The sequence below is a fragment of the Homo sapiens genome, chromosome 1 (assembly GCF_000001405.40).
Source record: "Homo sapiens chromosome 1, GRCh38.p14 Primary Assembly".
Classification (NCBI taxonomy): Eukaryota; Metazoa; Chordata; class Mammalia; order Primates; family Hominidae; genus Homo; species Homo sapiens.
In genome coordinates this window covers 102,625,542-102,646,810 of record NC_000001.11, presented here as the reverse complement: position 1 = coordinate 102,646,810, position 21,269 = coordinate 102,625,542, and positions in this window count along the sequence as shown.

Sequence of the window (21,269 nt, the reverse complement as noted above, 5' to 3'; positions counted from 1 at the left end):
ATTTTTAAGTTATTCTTGGAAAACTACTTTTTTTTATAATGTAATGTCCCTCTATATTATTAATAAAATTCCATGTTCTGAAGTCTACATCATCTTATATTAATAGGGGCACTCTAGCTTTCTTTAAATTAGTATGTGCATGGCATATTCATGAGAGGTTTGAGAAATTTGGGGCTTGATCAAGGAAAAGATATGACCATGACATGGCAGTTTATTTCATCACTCTTTGACAGGTTTGTATTTTATGTGGGATGGGAGGGGGGATCTCTTATGACAGAACATAAGTCTATCCAGAGGCTTAAGTGGGGTTGCTACAGAAAGGGAGGAGGGCTGGGAATTTTCCTAGGGGGAAGGGGTATCAAAGATGGGACTTATGTATCCAGATGATGTGACTCAGCCACATCCAGAGGGCAGCAGTGGTTTGGGGGTCTTTATGGCATAGGGCTTATCTATTGCTGGCAGATGTGGCATGACGTTTTACAAAGTATTCAAAATAAGCAGGCTCTAAATAGCTAAAAATTAGCTTGTTTGGGCTGTTTTAAAAATAACTGGATGTGTAAATATTTGTGTTTGGCACTGGCAGGCTCTTGAGCTAATGGGTTGCAGCCTGCAGCGAAGAAATAAACAACCTAGTGGCCAATGTTCAGAGGCCATTATTTTGCCACATTTATATAACAATCCATCCCTGGTTCTATGTTGTTTTATAATCTAAATTGTATTTTGTTTTGTAGGGCTTAGATGGAGCCAGTGACAAAGCATTTTCATAACCCAGAATTCCATACAAGATGGGGCACAAACTAGGATTTCGAAAGTATTCACAGCCAGTCTATTCACCTAATGGAGGTAGAATAGATTAGAAACAGAAATGACTTTTTGATTTGTTCCATCTGTTTAGTCAGCAGACTGATATGATAGTTCTGGTGCATGTCATTAGCTACCTATAAAACTTGGTGATTGTTGTTTTACTCACATGCAGCAAGATGTGTTAACAAGTACCCAGATCCTTTCTCATTTTGTTCTTGGGCTAGATCCTTAAGGACAGACTGGGCCTCAGGGTGAGAGAGAAGATGCATGTTTTCTCCTCCAAGGGAGAGTTGGTTTCTCCTTCTTAATCATTTTGTCTGTTTTGTTCTTATTGCCTTGTGGTGGACGACAGGCAAAAAGAGGGTAAATTTTCCCAGTCCCAATTGTGGTGACACCATGTTGCTCTTTTCTCTAGAGGGCAACAGTCCTCTTCTCCAGGGTCCTCCCCTCCACTTCATCTTCTCTAGGAGTTTGGGTTCTTTTCTTCTGTCTGGTTGGCATCCTGGGTCCTCCCCTCCACTTCATCTTCTCTAGGAGTTTGGGTTCTTTTCTTCTGTCTGGTTGGCATCCTGGTGAAAAGCTTCTGTGAGCAGGGCCCAGCACACATCTCTTGGTTTGTAGCATTCCTTCAGTAGGATAGCCACTTCCTTTGAAGTATTGAGAAAAGGAGGAATATAAACTTCCTTAATTTCATCTTTTAAATAATGCATTTCTCAGCTCAGTCCAAGGCTTTGGGTCTCAATATACTCCCCAGAAATCAACTAGAATGACACCATCTCCAGTAGTAGATCCAAGTAAGACAGCAGCATCGGCATGCTATCTGCTTACAAATGTGTGCCACTCCAGCTGCACTTAAGAAGCCAACCCTTGTCTGTCATCTATGCCTTGTAGGTTCATTTACCTGCCATTGTAGTCCCCAAGGAAAGGACTCCTCTCATTTCAGCCAAATTCAGCAAATTGCCAGCCTAGCCAAAGGAGCACCTCCTGACGTACCTTGTTACTGTGTCTAAGATGTCCCACCATTTGTCCAGAGGCGTGTATTCCTCCTTTTCTATTCAGGCTCATAAGTGCCTGTTGCCTGCCAAATTAGGAACCCATGAAACAAAATACACAGTGGGCAGTTTGAATTACTACAAAAAGCAGAGGTAAGAACACCAAGAAAATGAAATGTTGATGAAATTGGATAAATATATGAAATAACATTCCAGTAACAATAGTGATTAACATATAATAATAAGATTTCCTTGTAGGAAGTTTGTCAGGAAATTGTAGAAAGATTAATTTTTTTTATAGTAGTTTAATCAAATTACCTTAAAAATTCCCTACAACAGTGACTCTAGCAATTTGCAAACAATTTATATCAAACTTTGAATTATGTCATTAGTTAATAATTAAAAAATAAGCAATTGTAAATAACACACACTGAAAAAGAATGTGATTATTATCTCCAATTTATTGATTTCCTTAAAATGTTGGCACTATAGTGCTTTCTTTGGCCTTTTCTTCTTATGTTTGTAATACCTTATCATTTTATTTTATTTTATGTTTTTATTATTATTATACTTTAAGTTTTAGGGTACATGTGCACAATGTGCAGGTTAGTTACACATGTATACATGTGCCATGCTGGTGTGCTGCACCCATTAACTCGTCATTTAGCATTAGATATATATCTTAATGCTATCCCTCCCCCTCCCCCCACCCCACAACAGTCCCCAGAGTGTGATGTACCCCTTCCTGTGTCCATGTGTTCTCATTGTTCAATTCCCATCTATGAGTGAGAACACATGGTGTTTGGTTTTTTGTCCTTGCGATAGTTTACTGCGAATGATGATTTCCAATTTCATCCATGTCCCTACAAAGGACATGAACTCATCCTTTTTTATGGCTGCATAGTATTCCATGGTGTATATGTGCCACATTTTCTTAATCCAGTCTCTCATTGTTGGACATTTGGGTTGGTTCCAAGTCTTTGCTATTGTGAATAGTGCCGCAATAAACATACGTGTGCATGTGTCTTTATAGCAGCATGATTTAGAGTCCCTTGGGTATATACCCAGTAATGGGATGGCTGGGTCAAATGGTATTTCTAGTTCTAGATCCCTGAGGAATCGCCACACTGACTTCCACAGTGGTTGAACTAGTTTACAGTCCCACCAACAGTGTAAAAGTGTTCCTATTTCTCCACATCCTCTCCAGCACCTGTTGTTTCCTGACTTTTTAATGATCACCATTCTAACTGGTGTGAGATGGTATCTCATTGTGGTTTTGATTTGCATTTCTCTGATGGCCAGTGATGATGAGCATTTTTTCATGTGTCTTTTGGCTGCATAAATGTCTTCTTTTGAGAAGTGTCTGTTCATATCCTTCGCCGACTTTTTGATGGGGTTGTTTGTTTTTTTTCTTGTAAATTTGTTTGAGTTCATTGTAGTTTCTGGATATTAGCCCTTTGTCAGATAAGTAGGTTGTGAAAATTTTCTCCCATTTTGTAGGTTGCCTGTTGATTCTGATGGTAGTTTATTTTGCTGTGCAGAAGCTCTTTAGTTTAATTAAATCCATTAGTCAATTTTGGCTTTTGTTGCCATTGCTTTTGGTGTTTTAGACATGAAGTCCTTGCCCATGCCTATGTCCTGAATGGTAATGCCTAGGTTTTCTTCTAGGGTTTTTATGGTTTTAAGTCTAACGTTTAAGTCTTTAATCCATCTTGAATTAATTTTTGTATAAGGTGTAAGGAAGGGATCCAGTTTCAGCTTTCTACATATGGCTAGCCAGTTTTCCCAGCACCATGTATTAAATAGGGAATCCTTTCCCCATTGCTTGTTTTTCTCAGGTTTGTCAAAGATCAGATAGTTGTAGATATGCGGCGTTATTTCTGAGGGCTCTGTTCTGTTCCATTGATCTATATGTCTGTTTTGGTACCAGTAGCATGCTGTTTTGGTTACTGTAGCCTTGTAGTATAGTTTGAAGTCAGGTAGCATGATGCCTCCAGGTTTGTTCTTTTGGCTTAGGATTGTCTTGGCAATGCGGGCCCTTTTTTGGTTCCATATGAACTTTAAAGTAGTTTTTTCCAATTCTGTGAAGAAAGTCATTGGTAGCTTGATGGGGATGGCATTGAATCTATAAATTACCTTGGGCAGTATGGCCATTTTCATATTGATTCTTCCTACCCATGAGCATGGACTGTTCTTCCATTTGTTTGTATCCTCTTTTATTTCATTGAGCAGTGGTTTGTAGTTCTCCTTGAAGAGGTCCTTGATGTCCCTTATAAGTTGGATTCCTAGGTATTTTATTCTCTTTGAAGCAATTGTGAATGGGAGTTCACTCATGATTTGGCTCTCTGTTTCATTTTATAATAAACAAACGTTTCTTTTACGATTGAAAAATTCAGAGAGATACAAAATTTGAAGTAATCACACCTTATTAACTTAAAAATATACCATATATAAAAAACTAATACACAAAAAATTATTAAAACTGATAAATTTAGTAAAGTTACAGGATACAAAATCAACAAACAAAAATAAGTACCAGTCCTATATACTAACAGCAATCTATATGAAAAAGAATCAAGAAAGAAATCCCAATTACAATAGTTACAAAAATACTTAGAAATAAGTATGGCTAAAGAAGTAAAATATATTTATAAGAAAAAACTAGAAAACACTGATGAAAATAATTTAAGAGGACACACACAAAATGGAAAAATATCCTATGTTCAACGATTTAAAGAATTAATACTTTTAAAATGTTTATACTCCCCAAAGCTACCTCCAGATTTGTTTAAAGAACCACATAAGATCTCACACAGCTAAAGTAATCCTGAGCAAAAAGAACAAAGCTGGAGGTATCACACCATCTGATTTGAAATTACACTACAAAGCTGTAGTAGTTAAAATCACATGGTACTGGAATAAGAAAAAAAAATAAACTAATGAAATAGAATAGAGAACCCAGAAATATATCTATGCTCTTACAGTAAACTCATTTTTGACAAAGGTGCCAACAACATACCTTGGAGAAAGGACAGCATCTTTAATAAATGGTGATAGGACAACTGGATACTCCTATGGAAAAGAATGAAACTAGATCCATATTTTTCACTGTATTAAAAATCAACTAAAATCAATTAAAGATTTTAATGTAAGACATAATCCTAGGCCGGGTGCGGTGGCTCACGCCTGTAATCCCAGCACTTTGGGAGGCCGAGGTAGGCGGATCATGAGGTCAGGCGATTAAGACCATCCTGGCTAACACGGTGAAACCCCGTCTCTACTAAAAATACAAAAAAAATTAGCTGGGCGTGGTGGTGGGCGCCTGTAGTCCCAGCTACTAGGGAGGCTGAGGCAGGAGAATGCGTGAACCCGGGAGGCAAAGCTTGCAGTGAGCCGAGATGGCGCCACTGCACTCCAGCCTGGGCGACAGACCGAGACTCCGTCTCAAAAAAAAAAAAAAAAAAAAAAAAAAAAAGGCATAATCCTAGAAAACTACTAGAAGTAAACATTGAGAAAACACTACAGGACATTGATCTGGGCAAAGATTTTTGGGGTAAGTTCTCAAAAGCACAAACGAAAAAAGCAAAAATAGACAAACAGGGTTTCATCAAGTTGAAAAGCTTCTGAACAAAAATGAAACAATTAGCAAAGTGAAGAGACAACCTAGAGGATAGGAGAAAATATTAGAAACTACCTATTTGAAAAGAGATTAATAAACAGAATATAAAAGGAACTCAGGCAACTCAATAGCAAAACAACCAAATAACCCAGTTAAAAAACAGGCAAGGGACATAAACAGACATTTCTCAAATGAATGCATACGAATAGCCAACAAGTAAATGGAAAAATGCTCAACATTATTTATCATCAGGGAAATGCAAATCTAAACCACAATGTGATATCATCTTATCTCAGTTAGAATGGCTATTGTCAAAAAGATTTTTTTTAAATGACAAATGCTGGCAAGGATGTGAAGAAGAAATAGCAATGCTCTTACACTCTTGGTGGGAATGTAAGTAAAAGAGATACTATGGAAAACAGTATAGAGGTTTCTCAAAAGACTAAAAATAGAACTACCATATGATCCAGAAATCCCATTCCTGGGTATATATCCAAAAGAAAGGAAATCAATATATTATAGACAGTTGCTCTCCCATGTGTATTGCAGCACTATTCACAATAGTCAAAATATGGAATTGAACTAAGTGTCCATCAATAAATGAATGGATAAAGAACACACAGTATATATACAAAATTTAATTTTATTCAGCTATAAAAAATAATAAAATTCTGTCCTTTGCAGCAACATTGATGGAACTGGAGGACATCATGTTAAGTGAAATAAGATAAGCTCAGAAAGACAAATATCTCATGCTGTCACTCATATGTGGGAGCTAAAAAAAGTAGATATCATGGAGGCAGAGAGTAGAATGGTGGCTACCAGAGGCTGTGAGAGGAAGGGAGGATAAAGAGAAGTTGGTTACTGGGTACAAAAATATGCTTAGATGGCATAAATATGTTCTAGTATTCAACACTACAGTAGGAAAATTAAAGTTAGTAAAAATTTATTGTATATTTAAAAGCAGCTAGAAGAATTGTAATGTTCCCAACACAAAGAAAAGATAAATGTTTGAGGTGATGCATATCCTAATTACCCTTATTTCATCATTATACATTGTATACACATATCAAAATAGTACGTGTAACACCCAAATATGTACAACTATGATATATCCATTAAAAATAAAGTCAAATACAGACACACACACACACACACACACACACACACACACATATATATATCATATATTATGTATTGTTTGAGTATTATCCCCAAAGAATGTACTTTTACTTAAAAGGGTAAGTAAAGTAAATTATATACAAGTTCTCTTGAATTTAATAAATCCTTTGCAAATGTGAGTCTTCAACCAAAGTTAGTAAAACTTTATACCATACTTGCTTTGTACCAGGAGCCATTATAAGTATTTAATATTTACAACAACCCTGTGATGTAGACACTATTTTTTCCCTGCTACACAGATGATTAAATGGAGTAAATGGAGGCATAGAGAATTAGAATAACTTGCTCAGTCATGCAGTTACTGAACACTAGTTATGTCTTAGGAGCCAAATTTGAGAATGTATGGTTTTAATCCACTCTTCCAAACTATCTCCCTATAACAAACATATCGATTGCAAACATTTCTATTATTATTTAGAAATTTATACAATAATTTCATATAAATGACATCTTTTAATTCTTACTACTACATTGCTTTATTCACTCTAAAATAATAATGTGATTTTGAATGTCTACTATTGCTACTTAATGTGCTGTTGCTCCAGAGTATTAAAATCTACGGCTAATAGCCATACAACCTTGCAGATATTTGAGGTATTTGCAATATTATAAACCATATTCAGAATATTCTGAAGGCAAATAGAATTTTCTCCACTTTATAAATAAGAAGCCTGAGTCTCAGAGTGTTTAGAACATTTTCTGAAATCATGCAGACAATATATTAAGTGGGATTGCTGAGATTTGAACTGAGTATTTGTGAAACTGGTTTCAGTCTTTGCACTGTATCTCAAAATTATCCAAGTTTTTATCCTTTTTAAAAGATACTCCATTAAAGATTTTCATTGTTCATCAGTGCTCTCAGAACTTGCTCAAGGAAAAACATAACTGTAATAATCAAATATAAATTCCAGGAGTAATCATCTCCTTTATATCATCCTCTCTCTTCCCTCCACCATAAAGGTGTGGTCCAGAATGTATTACATACATAGCAATTTAAAAATTATGCTATATTTCCTCACCTTTACTCCAATTTCACTTTAAGATAATGCTGATGCATTCTGCAGGTGCAGATATCATATTACGTGTTTAGTAGTGAGAACCAATCTCTACCTAAAGGTAAGTCCTTGAGAAGTTGTTGATAATGTGTTTTTTATTATGAACACTTTTGTGCTAAGTATATGAATCTTGAACATTTTAGAATTTGCTTCCAACTTGGTGTTTTATTTATTTATTTGTAAAATTGTATGCCACTCAGAGCATAAAAAGAATGATTAAATATCAATTTGAGCCAGTTCTAGCCAGTGGTGCATTCTTCTATCACAGTGTGCAACCATGTGCAACTATGAATCTTGGGTAAGAGCTCCCAGAGAACATTTGATGATTGAATTTGTGCTTATCAGATTGAAGTTTGAAAAATTTAGTGCTAGTAGATTGATTTTTTTTCCAAAAAGCACATGTAGATATATTAGAGGCCAAGTTGGAACCAAACACATTAAAAAATAGCTTTAGAGGCAAAACTCACTATTTACAGGTCATAAAACATCTGGTTCTTTAAAATCTTAAGCAAATGCCTTGATATATATGAAATTTGTACAAGTGAAATATGTGCATTTATATATGTGCTAATTTTCTTCTGAAAATACTGTGCTGTTTCACTTTATTAAAATAAGAAGAAAGAGAAAGAAAGAGAGAAAGAGAGAAAAAGAGAGAAAGAGAAAAAGAGAGAGAGGGAGAGAGGGAGCGACAAATGAAGGAAGGAAGGAAGGAAGGAAGGAAGGAAGGAAGGAAGGAAAAAAAAAAGAGAGAAAGAGAAGTCATAGCTAGATGTCCGAAAAATAAAATCAGGGAAAATATAATTTGGATTTTCACAGATAAAGAAGAACTGAATTCCTGATTACTTTCTTTCTTTCTTTCTTTCTTTCTTTCTTTTTTTTGAGACGGAGTCTCGCTCTGTTGCCCAGGCTGGAGGGCAGTGGCGTGATCTCGCCTCACTGCAAGCTCCGCCTCCCGGGTTCACGCCATTCTCTTGCCTCAGCCTCCCTGGTAGCTGGGACTACAGGCGCCCGCCACCCTGCCCGGCTAATTTTTTTTGTATTTTTAGTAGAGACGGGGTTTCACCGTGTTAGCCAGGATGGTCTTGATCTCCTGACCTCGTGATCCGCCTACCTCGGCCTCCCGAAGTGCTGGGATTACAGGCATGAGCCACCACACCGGGCCTCCTGATAAATTTCTAGTGCAACATAATGAAGTTAAAAATATGAATTCGAAAGACAAACTACCCAATTATTAAGCCCTGCTCAACTACTTACTAGCTATATAATTTAGACAATATTCTCTTTACCATTCTATAAAATGAACCTAATAAATATTTCTACCTTATATTTTAATAAAGATTAATGAAAATATATGTAAAAGGCACTTTTACACTTCTTGGCATATAATTAACAGTATAGAATTATTTTCCTTGGTAACTGTCTTTTGTCATGTGGCTTGAAGCTACAAATTCTACCCTAAATTTTCATGGCTCAGAGTTATTTGAGAAAAAGAAAAATATATGTGATTCTTTAAAATAAACGAGTCAACAGTATAGGGTGCCACTGCTTTTATTCAACATTGTACAATAGATAGTAGCCAGTAGAGTACGACAAAAAAAAATTAAAGGTGCATAAGGATTGCAGAGAAACAAACTGATTCACAGGTGATACAGATTTAAAGTCAGTATTACATATTCAACTCCAAATATATGTATCAATATATGCAGTTAGAAATTTAAATACATCTTAAAATATTATTTATAATAAATAATAAAATTTAAGGTATGCAGGAATAAGCCTAACATATTTGCCAGACCTACTGCACATAATTAGAAACATTTTTGAAAGACGTTTATGGAAACCTAAATATTCACGAATGTGAAGAGGAAATACTAAAAATATATCAATTCTATTCAAATATAGTACAAGATGAAAGCATTTCCAAACAAAAATCCAAAGTATTTTGTGAGACACTTTTCAAGTTTATTGTAATATTTATATATGTAGAAAAGACCTCAAAATAGCTAACACATTCTTGAAGGGGAGGGATTTCATAGGGTACTTTACTAAAAATCAACTTACTTAAACATGTTACTAACTGTTAAAGATGATCAAAAAATGTTTTGCTTTTGATATGGGAAGAACAGGAATGTAAATTCACTTTATTGCCCTGGAGATATATATGTTCAGCTCTCACAGGATTCTTCATCACTTTGGTACATTCAAGTAATGAAAACATGTTAATTGGACTTGGTAAACAGAAATTAGTAGACAGATTAGATGCCTATATATGGACCAAAGTGTGGATTGTTTGAAGTAAAACAGTCTGGGGCATGTGGTAAGAACAAAGTCGCCATGCGTTGCACTCTCTATCATAAGAAAGCTTTTGGTGAGCCTTAGATTTTGGAGATAGGTTACGCCAAACTAAGGGATACTCTTTCAACCTACTTATCATGTAACTAAAAAGTGGGACCCAGAGTAAAAGAGGCCTCTGTAGAAAGTTTAGGTTTCAGTACAAGATGTCTTCTCTCTGTGCCATACCTTCCAGGAAACTGATGGTGTCAGAGATATCACAATTGTAAAAGATGCTGTGTACATATGTCTCTGGTAATCCCAATAGCAGAGTTCCAGGAAGGTTATAGAGAAAGGCAATGCCATCTGTGACAGACCCCTGGTGTGCTAGTGGGTATTAGTAGACTGAGTTCCTAAACATGGGACCTGCATTTACCATGTTGAGTAGGGTATTACTTTATCTACTGCAAAAAGCCACAAGAACAAAGAAGGAATTCGTTGTTCAGTGGAAATGGCATGATGAGAATTGGACTTGAGTAGTTCAAGACGGTGTGTGTAAAATTACATGATTAGGTGGCCTGAACTTTTGTGATGTTTATTCATGCTGTATTAACATCTCTCCAACTCATACCTATGATTTATTGGAACTTTTCTCCACCTGGCCAGCTTCCTAGATGGCCATATTCTATGGCTAGCTAAAAACAGATGTCTGCTGAACTTTAGTTAGGAGTGGTCCTAAAGGACAGTGTGAAAAGAAACTGCTCCCAGCACAACTGTGAACAATATATTTATTACTAAATTCATAGGGATTAAGAACTGCTCTGGAGTATGGCTAATGCTGAATACATTGACTGGGTTTTTCAGGGGCAAAAAAAAAAAAACGATGAATGAGGGCAAGCAAATTCTGGGAAAGAGACATCTGGAAAGAGGCATCTATAGGTATTGCAGAGTTTCAATATTTTTACCCATAAATCCTTTGCATCCATCAAACCACAAAGGCAGCACTCAAGAGAAAAGTGGAAAGGGTGATGCACCCTCCTTCTTTGGTCACACCAGTGATTGCATGATGGGCCTATGAAAGTTGTGGCCATGGCCGCAGTGATGGAGGCTTTACATGGGCCCAGTAGTCTCATCTAGACTGTCAAACTACTCCAACTACTCAGTGTCCAGCCACTGAGCAGCAGAGACTGATTCTGAGAAGCACCATCATTCAGAATGACTATCCTGCTTCTTTAAGGTAAGGAGATTATATCTGACTCCTTCTAGAGATTTTTCCTTTATAGCTAATACAGTTGTGAGTTTGCCCTCCATTGCCACAGTACTGGTGTTGGCACTTTTATTTAAGGGCTTACACATGCCCTGTGTATTGCTGTGATATACCATATAAAATTGCCTCAGGTTAAACTTCATATTTCAGCGAAGAAGGTTCAATATAGATGAATGATGATGGAATCCAGAAGAATCAGGAACTGGACTTAAAAACATGGTGGTATAGACTGGTAGTGTTCAGCTAAAACTTAATAACCTATAGGCAGGGGTGCTGACCTCTAGGATGGAGATATATGAGCTGAATCAATAGCTAATATATGGTCATATATTACCAAAATCTATAGGACATTGAGCCAAGAGCCAAAGGGAAATGTATGATTAGGCCTTTTCTCTATCATTCCTGCTAACCCATGTGCAGATTTTTGCTTCAAAACTATAGGCTCCATTTGATTAAAAATCTTGGTCCAGTGGCTCAGTGGAAAAATAAAACCAAACCAAAACAATTATTTTATGTGTATAAGTAATTGATAATTGTCGTGATAAGCATGAAAAGTTACTCTTGTGACTATAAAATGAGACTGGGTATGTGTGTGGAGTTCACTTGGCCTGTTCCCTGGAGTACTTCCCTGACTGATGATAGCGGCAACCGGACAATTTTAGCAACCACATTGCAACAAGAGCAAGTTAACCAAAGTCTCAAACTCTTTGGGGAGAGTGACATGGGTCATGTCACAAAGCAGTCAGCCTTGACTAGCCAAAATTCTAACAAAGCACAAATGAAATCTAGAATTAGTGATAAAGGAGAGAGGTGATGAATAGCAGTTATGTCCTCAAGGTGAGTGACTGGAGCATAGAATGTTGCTTGTTTTGCAAACTGTCTTGTATCTTTGTAAACAAATAATGTGCCTTGCCACCCCTGGTGATATATTGGATTTCACAGAAGGCATGAGTAAATCTGAATGATGCAAAAAGTAAACTGTATTGGATACCTGTTGTGTGTGTGCTGCTTTCTTCAGATTCTTTTCCTTTGTTGTTATTTTAGTCACTGCTATAACAAATAATTTTAAACAGACTTCTGCCACTTTTGCTCAGGTGCAATCTATGTGCTTTGCTAAATATAGCTTCAATGATGTCTGGCTTCTTACCTTGGGGCTAACCTTTGAGTTACCCATGGGAACCATTTTGCCATTCCTTCATGTGTAGCTTGTGTGGAATGGTTACTCCTATAGGGCAACCCTTGACCAATAACTACGGAAGCTGAGGGACAAGTGCTTTCTCCTTTCTTCCCATTGGCAGAGAGTTATTTTATATATATATATACACACACACACACACACGCGTGCACACACACACTAATGCTTCTCAGAAGTTCCTGGAGATAAAATAGCCAATTAAGTATGGGTGGCAAACTCAGTAACTCATTTCTCTATTGGCTTTACTTTCTCTGCTTCATTCCCTCTGTTCTTCATTCCTATTCCCTGAGTTATCTTCTCAAGGAAACTTTTTGAAAAGGAGCCCTGTTCTTAGTTTCTACTCTTACAGACAAGGTAACACCCTAATACGATAACATTTTGCCAAGCCACCAGTTGAATGAACATAGAGAAAACTAACAATTTATGTTTTTAGTGTCTTAAGCTTAACATTTATTTGGTGATTCAAATATTATTTATTAATTAAAGGTATGTGTATATGTGCACATATATTTTTATATAGGTATGTGTATATGTATGTGTACTTGTTCTCTGTCTCTCTCGCACACACACACACACACACACACACAAAGCTTTTAGCTACTGGTTTAGAGGAAAAGGTTTAAAAATAAAATCAGAAGAATTTATGCCCCTAGAAATGTATAAGAAATCTGATCCAATACATAAAATTTTAATTTAGGAATAGGAAATTGAGAGTGATAGACATTTTCCTAACTTTTAAAAATGTGTACTATGTTTATATTTCTTTAGGCATGTTCACCTGCAGTCTTTAGTCTACGTAATAATCTATTTTAAATATTATTTGCATGCATTTATGTTAGATCTAGTAAAGGTTTTGTCAGCTTAAAATCATATATATAATTAGCATTGCATTTTTTCTCCTTCATGATACTTTGATTATGTTCATCATACTGAAGCACATTTAAAGTCCAGAAATTAATCTTGGTCACACATTTTTGGTCATAATTTTATTTATAATTTACAAATGAAAAATAAAAAAATCTTATAGTGCATAACTGTAAAATGTCAAATTTGGCAGTCTAATGGATCAGAAAATATAAAGGGATCTTACTTGTTCAGTATCATAGAAAAAATTATGAATTTTACATATTTTTCCAGACAATATAATTTATTTTCAGTACAAAATAATCTTAACATATCCATATCAATTATTATTTTAAAAATTAGTTGATTTTTTAACATTTATTAAAGAAAGTATTTCAAACATAGTTTAAGCTTTTCAGGTTTTCTTCATTTGAAACATCTATTTTTCCATCACCTTCAACCTCATTATCATCATTTAATTCAGACCATAAATGACTAAAACATCATGTATAATTTTCCTTGTTCATTTCTCTTTGTCTACCATCTTTAATATTTCTCATCCTCAAAGTCATATAATATATGCAGCTCATTAAATTTTGTATTCAATACAATTATGTTTTGCATTGCTTTTGGTATTTTATGTATATTAATTTTGACTTTTCAACATACAACCACATAATAAACTCTTAAAGGCAAAAGTAATATCTTTCATTATTTAATAGGTACTCTATTTTTAAATCTTGGAACAATACTGAATGTATCTTTTGAAAAATAAGCATTTTTATGTTTAACTTAATTACAGTCATAAAAAATACTTTTCTGTATTATACTAGCTTCATATGTGTAGTTTCAAACTTTCTAAAGCCAGAAAACCCTTTGATCAAATGAAACTTACCTTTAAACAGGACAATTATAAGCATAACTGCTCCAGTTGAAATGGGTTAAGGGTAGCAAAGTCATACAAATGTCTCTTGCTTTCAGTCAGCTGGCCTGAGATGTGTATTGAGTTTCAAAATGTTTTTTCTATAATATGTAGTCTTATTAAATTCATATAATGGCTTATTAAGTATTTTAGAATTGAAATAACCATATAAAGTATTTCCTATGATTAGTATTTATGATTTACCACTTATAATGCATAACAACTGTATTTCAACTATATTTTAAGATATGTTTTGGATAATCAGGGGGATTAGAAACAGAAAATCATCAATCCTACCAACATTTATTAAGCACCTTCTACATGCTTTATAGGCTCTGGAATACAGCAGTAAAGAGAACAAAATATCCCAGTCTTTAGTCTCAGGGATTTTGCATTTTGGAGGAGAAAACAAGCACAACACACATGATATCAGGGGTAGTTAGGGCGACAAAGGAAAAATGAAGTGAGGTAAAACAGGTACAGAGAGATGGAGAAGATGAAGCTGTTACTATTTTTAATAAGATAATTAAGTGAAGATTTTCTGTAAAGATGAATTTGTGTGGAAATTTGAAGATACTGACTTAAAATGTTGCCTGCTTATGTTGGAAGCTGCTTTATTTCTGTTTTATGCATTATTGCCTGCTATGTTATAGGTTTAGTGGAGGCGGTTTTATTATAATCATAGCTTAAATGCTTTCAAAGTTCCCCTTGATTCCAGTCTGATTCCATGTTCAAGTGATAAAATACTCCAGACTCATGAATATCCACTTAACGTGTTTTAGAAAGATATGTGAAAGCTATAAAGCACCAGGGTTCTTATAGAGGGATTACTGTGTAAAGCTTCAGGATTGAAATGTAGCATATTTCATTCCTTATTTGTTCAATGAAATGAAAAATTGTATAATAAAGTGGTCCTAACTATGTGTGACGAGTATACATCAAACTGTTTTCTTTTGTTATGAAATTAGAGTAAGAACTTAGTGTTTATGTGTAGTAGGCCATCCGCTCAAGGGTCCCATGATTTGTCACCATCACACGATGCAGTATAGAAGTTGAACATTACCAGCTTGAAGCCATGCTCAAACATAATGACAGTGGTTTATGTTTATAAATAATCCTTCTCTTAGCAATTCAAAGTCCTTCATATATCTTTCTCATGTGTTCATACAACTGTAATGAAAATTTAAGAGACTGCTAACCACTCTCTTTTCTCCCAGAGACTAAAAGTAAGGCACAGTCAGGTTAGCCTCATTGCCTCAGGTAAGTCAACCACTTAGCAGCAGAGCTGAGAATAGAACTCAGCCTTCTGACTTTTTCCAAGGAGCAAGTTTCAAAACCTTGCTTCACTGGAAGAAGTTTGTGCTTTTTGTCATTCCCAGTGGCAGAAAGGTAAAAATAAAAGATTGCCTATGTCAAAATCTTGCTACCTTTACAAAGGTTAGCTTTCTCGTGGTTCAAAAAATAGGCTTTAATATTTTTTCTTTTTTTAAAATGAATCCAGAAACTATAAGAAAGTCTTGGCAAATCATGGAACTAGACTCTTCTTTTTATTTCTAATATATCAGTGTCAATATTTTTAATAGAGTCTACATGGCATTACCCTAGTCATTATTCATTTAAAAATACCAAAACAAACAAACTTGCTAATCCAATCTGTAAAATGGCCATGAGTTTAATTTTGCAAATGTTATTGAGATCTATTTAGTAAGAGTGGGATATCCATCAAGAGTCATAATGATATTTATAAAATATGTATAGCTGCCTAGTCTACTTAAAAGGAACATCCAGCACAATCAGGGCAATAACTACCTTTTTATAAAACATTATTACTGGCCGGGCGCGGTGGCTCACGCCTGTAATCCCAGCACTTTGGGAGGCCGAGGCGGGCGGATTACGAGGTCAGGAGATCGAGACCATCCCGGCTAAAACGGTGAAACCCCGTCTCTACTAAAAATACAAAAAATTAGCCGGGCGTAGTGGCGGGCGCCTGTAGTCCCAGCTACTTGGGAGGCTGAGGCGGGAGAATGGCGTGAACCCGGGAGGCGGAGCTTGCAGTGAGCCGAGATCCCGCCACTGCACTCCAGCCTGGGCGACAGAGCGAGACTCGGTCTCAAAAAAAAAAAAAAAAAAAAAAAAAAAACATTATTACTGTTCTATTAGTGCTATAAACAAAGTATTGTGCTACTCCAGTGAAATGAACATTATTCACCAATTGGAACCAGCAAAGATTCCATGAAATGCTAATTGAAACTTGGATTTTGATGGGCATATATGAGGGATAGTAGGGAACTTCAAGAAAAAAAGCGTGGTGTGCAATCTGCCACAAAAATGGGATGAACCCTAGCAATTGTTGCTGTCAGCAAGATGTCTAGGTGATGACTACTACTTTCTTCTCTTGCTTTGGCCTGCTAACTGGTTCTGCTGCCTTCTTGAGAGCACACACCTTGAACTGCTGCTGGCTGGCTATGATGCTCATCAGCTCATGTTGGGCTTGCACTTTGAGCACTATTCCCTTGTGCTGCTTTGTGCTGCATATGCTGAGTCTTAACAATTCTCTGTTACAGATTTAACTGATCAAAGTCAGGAGTTTCAATAATTGGTGTGTAGGGATAGGGATATGTGATTTGGGCCCTTCTTAAAGTGGTCCTGTGTTGTCTGTATCTGCCTCTACTTATCTTTATGTCTCACATTGAATTGTGTGTTCTCATTCCAGCATAAGGAATACCTGACACTAGCCTCAATGAATGATGTTTATTCTGTGAGTATTAGATGCGTATCTAAACCAGTTATTGGACTCTATTCTGTACAGCACTCAGGAGAAAGAATGATGTACTATGCAACATGTGGGTTCATCAGGTGCTCACTTATATATGGGAAAAGTGTCACCATGTGGTCAGTGTGAGAGCCACATTCCTAAAAGCAGCTGAATCACTAGGACCCTATAAAATGTATTTGCTGTTTCTGCTGCCAAACACAATATGTGGCATTCAAACTTCTTGGGATTTCCTAGAAATACGTAAGTTCAAAGAATGACTGAATATAAGGGTGCATATGAAGGTGGAGTGCACAATAAAAGTAATAACAGGGATGAAAGGAGAAGTTACCATCCATGGTAAATAGTGTGCCAGACACTGGAAACTAGTATAAGATCATTGAAAATCCTGCAAGCTAGACTAAGGGTTTAAGATATTACTAGGAAATGTTGAGCTGTTGAAATGTTCTGAAGAGAAGTGAGTTTTAGAAACATTATGTTGTTGTGTTGGCATACTATATTTGGGTCTCCAATCAATCAACCAACCAATCCGTTTTTAACAGGAATAAAAAAATCTTGCCAAATTTAGAATCATTGTTTTACTCTACCTGGCATAGTAGTTACACAGAAATTTTGACAATCTGTCTGAATTAAAATTCAGGCTCCGCTGATCACTATTGTGTGACCTCGGGAAAGTTACTTTATCTCCCTGCTCTCAGGTTTTATCATTTTTAAGATGGGGATAGTTATTACACCTGCCTCTTATGACAATGGTGACAATTAATTGATTTAATATATTTAAGACATTTATAATATGTCTTATAAAATACATTTATAACTGTGTCTTACATATAGTAATCACTGGTAAAAAGGTAGTCACTTAAAAATATTTAATAAGTAATATCCATTCAACAAATATTTATTGAGTGCATATCTTTTAGGTACCGTTTTAAGTTCTCACAATATGGTAGTGAACAAACTGATGAAACAAACAATAGAAACACAAAACTACCTTCACGTACTGTTTCAAAATAGTTGTATTTTGGAGCATTTGGGAGGTTTGAGAAAATACAGGAGAATTTCGAGTTAAAGCCTCATCATAGACTTTTGCTGACACGTTGAGCTGCTCAGCCCCCAGACTTTTTTCCTCTTGAGAGGAGTGCCCAGTGTGTGGGTCTTTGCAGGAGACCTACTATGAAGTTTGGATGTTTCTATATATTCCTCCTTTCTCCTCTCTGGCAGCTGAAGCACTGTTTCTCTCAGTATGATGCTCTCACCAGGAATAAAAAGCCATACATTTGAAGATTATTTACTCAGCAGGCAGTGCAGTTAAGAGTCCAGTGGTGCCCGCAGTAGCGGTAGTTCAATGTTAGCAGGGCTGGTGGCAGCACCGTGTGCATGACAAGACAAGACACTGATTGTTTTATTAGCTGGTTGCCGCTCCCTTTCCTGTCTTTCAGATGGAATCAGTTTCATTTTCTCCAAATGTTAACATACAAACAAGCAAATAAGTATATAAAAATTGAGGCTACACTTTAGCTACCTCGAGTCCAATGGTCCATAGCCTTGTAGCCAAAAATTGTTATCCTGATTTCCCTGAAACACTAGCTTTTACAATAAACAAAACATGAAATGTAAGCTTTTTGTCTTTGTCAGCATAATTCAGTGAAATTAAACCAGTCAGCTACAGACAAATCAGCATAGACAGCTGTACTTTCCCTAAAAGGAATATATGTTTATAATAGCCAGTCACAGTGAAGATCCATGTACTTCTTCATTTATGCTTTATAAGCTGCACTAAAACTGCTGAGAGAAGAGCTGTTTCGCATTTCTGGTTTGAAATCTTCCAGTTTGTGAACTGTTTTTTTGCATGCATAATAAACTATAACATTTTTCTAACTTTGATCTGATTTTAGTTTTGACACAACCAAGGACCTTAACTTGCCTAAGGCTTTGATGGTAGTCAAATCACTCATTATAAAACAGCTACTAGAGTGAAGTCAGAAGGAGGCTTTAATTCATTCAACCAAAATATATAAGCAGCTTCTCTGAGCCAATCACCATAATTGAGCAAAAACAGATATCATCTCTGCCTTCTTTAATCAAATATCATACATATAAATGTAAAATTACAGCTATAATAACTCTTTAGAAGAAGAGGCACATTATACATGATTACTTAAAGCAGGAAGATTTGACCTGATCAAGGATGTGAGGGCAGGCCTTTCTGAGATTTTGACAACTGACTGGAAATCTAATGGTTCTATCATTAGCCAAAAGAAGGCAAGATAATGGTACTCCATTGACAGGGCACTGTCTACAGATCATAGTGATTTACAGAGTGAGACTAGAGAAATAAGTGTGCACTGTATTCAGGAGCCAGTGGATTTGGTGCAAGATATTTTGGCCAAAGTAATCACTTTCCTCTAATTCAGGCAAGAGTTGATAGCAGCTCAAGTTATACATTGAAAGTCATGGCAAAAACTGGAATTACTTTTGCACTAACCTAATTCTTTTGGCATTAGAAAGAAACAGAAAGATTTGAGATAAATTTAGAAGAAAAGCATTTAGAGAATTTGGTTCTGGCTTAGATGTGAAGATAAAGAGGAGGGACATATTCAGATCGCTTGTTTGTTTCTGGCTTACCTAGGGTAGCAAGTCATCTGAATTCAACTGAACACAGAAGTATGCACTTGTTTGTTCGTAGTGATGTTAATCACTGAAAGAACAGTCATGGAAAACACCACTTTTTGGTTAATGATCATTATTTTAGTAATGGGCTTGTTGAGTTTCAGGATCTTATAGGTATTCCAAGTTTATCAAATAAGTAGTTGTATTTATTAATCTGGTTGTCAAAAAGAGCTCTAGTTTGAAGATACAATTTTATCAATTGTATGGGTCTAATTTAAGAAATAAGTGTGTGTGAGGCAGCCTAGGGAAATAATTTTGAATGAGAAAACAAAAGAGGCTAAGATAGCAAGTGCTGGCCAGGATATATAGGAAAGAGAACCCTTGTGTGCTATTGGTGGCAATGTAATTAATACAGCCACTATGGAAAACAGTATGAATATTCTTCAGAGAACTAAACATAGGATTGCTGTATGATCCAGTAATCTTATTTCTGGATGTATATCCACAGGAATTGAAACTAGTATGCAGAAGAGACTGTATGTAGTATGCAGAGAGCCTGTACTCTCACTTTCATTGCAGCATTATTTACAATAGCTAAGAAATGAATACAGCCTAGGTGTCCATCTTCAGATTAATGGATTTAAAAAACATGTTATACTTATATACAGTGGAATACTGTTCAGCCTTCAAAAGGAAGGAAATTCTGTCATTTAGGACAAAATGGATAAACCTAGAGTACATTCTGCTATGTGAAATAAGCCGGACACAGGAAGGCAAATACTGCATGTTCTCACTTATATGTGCAATCTAAAGCAATTGAACGCATAGAAGTCAAGAGTAGAATGATGGTAACAAGATCCTGGAGGAGAGGGGAAGAAAATGTTAATCAGAGCATACAAAGTTTCAATTAGACAAAGAGGAATAAGACCAGGCACAGTGGCTCAGACTTGTAATCCCAGCACTTTGGGAGGCTGAGCTGGGAACCCAGGAGTTTGAGACTAGCCTGGGCAATATAGTGAGACCCCATCTCTGCAAAAACAAAAATACATTGTTTGGGTCTGGTGGTGCACACCTGTAGTCCTAGCTATGTGAGATGCTGAGGTGGGAAGATGACTTGAGCTCAGGAGGTCCAGGCGGCGGTGAGCCATGATTGTGCCACTGTACTCCAGCCTGGGCAACAGAGTGATATTGTCAAAAAAAAAAAAAATGACAAAGAGGAATAAGCTTCAGTAATCTATGGTACAAAATGGTGACTGCAATAAATAATAATGCCTTGTATGTTTCAAAATTTCTAAAAGAGTAGATTTTACATTTATTTCACTACAACAAAAAAAATAAGTATGTGAAGTGATGAATTTGTTGATTAGCCTGATTTAATCATTCTACATTGCAAGCATTATATCAAAACATCACACTGCACCCTATGAATATATAAAATTATTATTTATTAATTATAAAGTAAAAATAATTGTTCAAAAAAGAAACTAAAATTCACTTTAAGAATTTCCAACTATTAATGGTAAGTAGAGAAGACTGAATGATCCCATGATAAAGACTGGGAGAATGTGATGGGATTATTTTTTTCTCTTTTGTCCCAGATTTATTTATAAAATGAGTGGCCTGAAGATATCTGATACTACTCAACTATCATTTAATCACTAAGGAAAAAATTTATGCTGTTTTCTTTCATCTCAGAGCTTGATGATTTTACAGGAAATCTTTTTTATGTCTCTGCA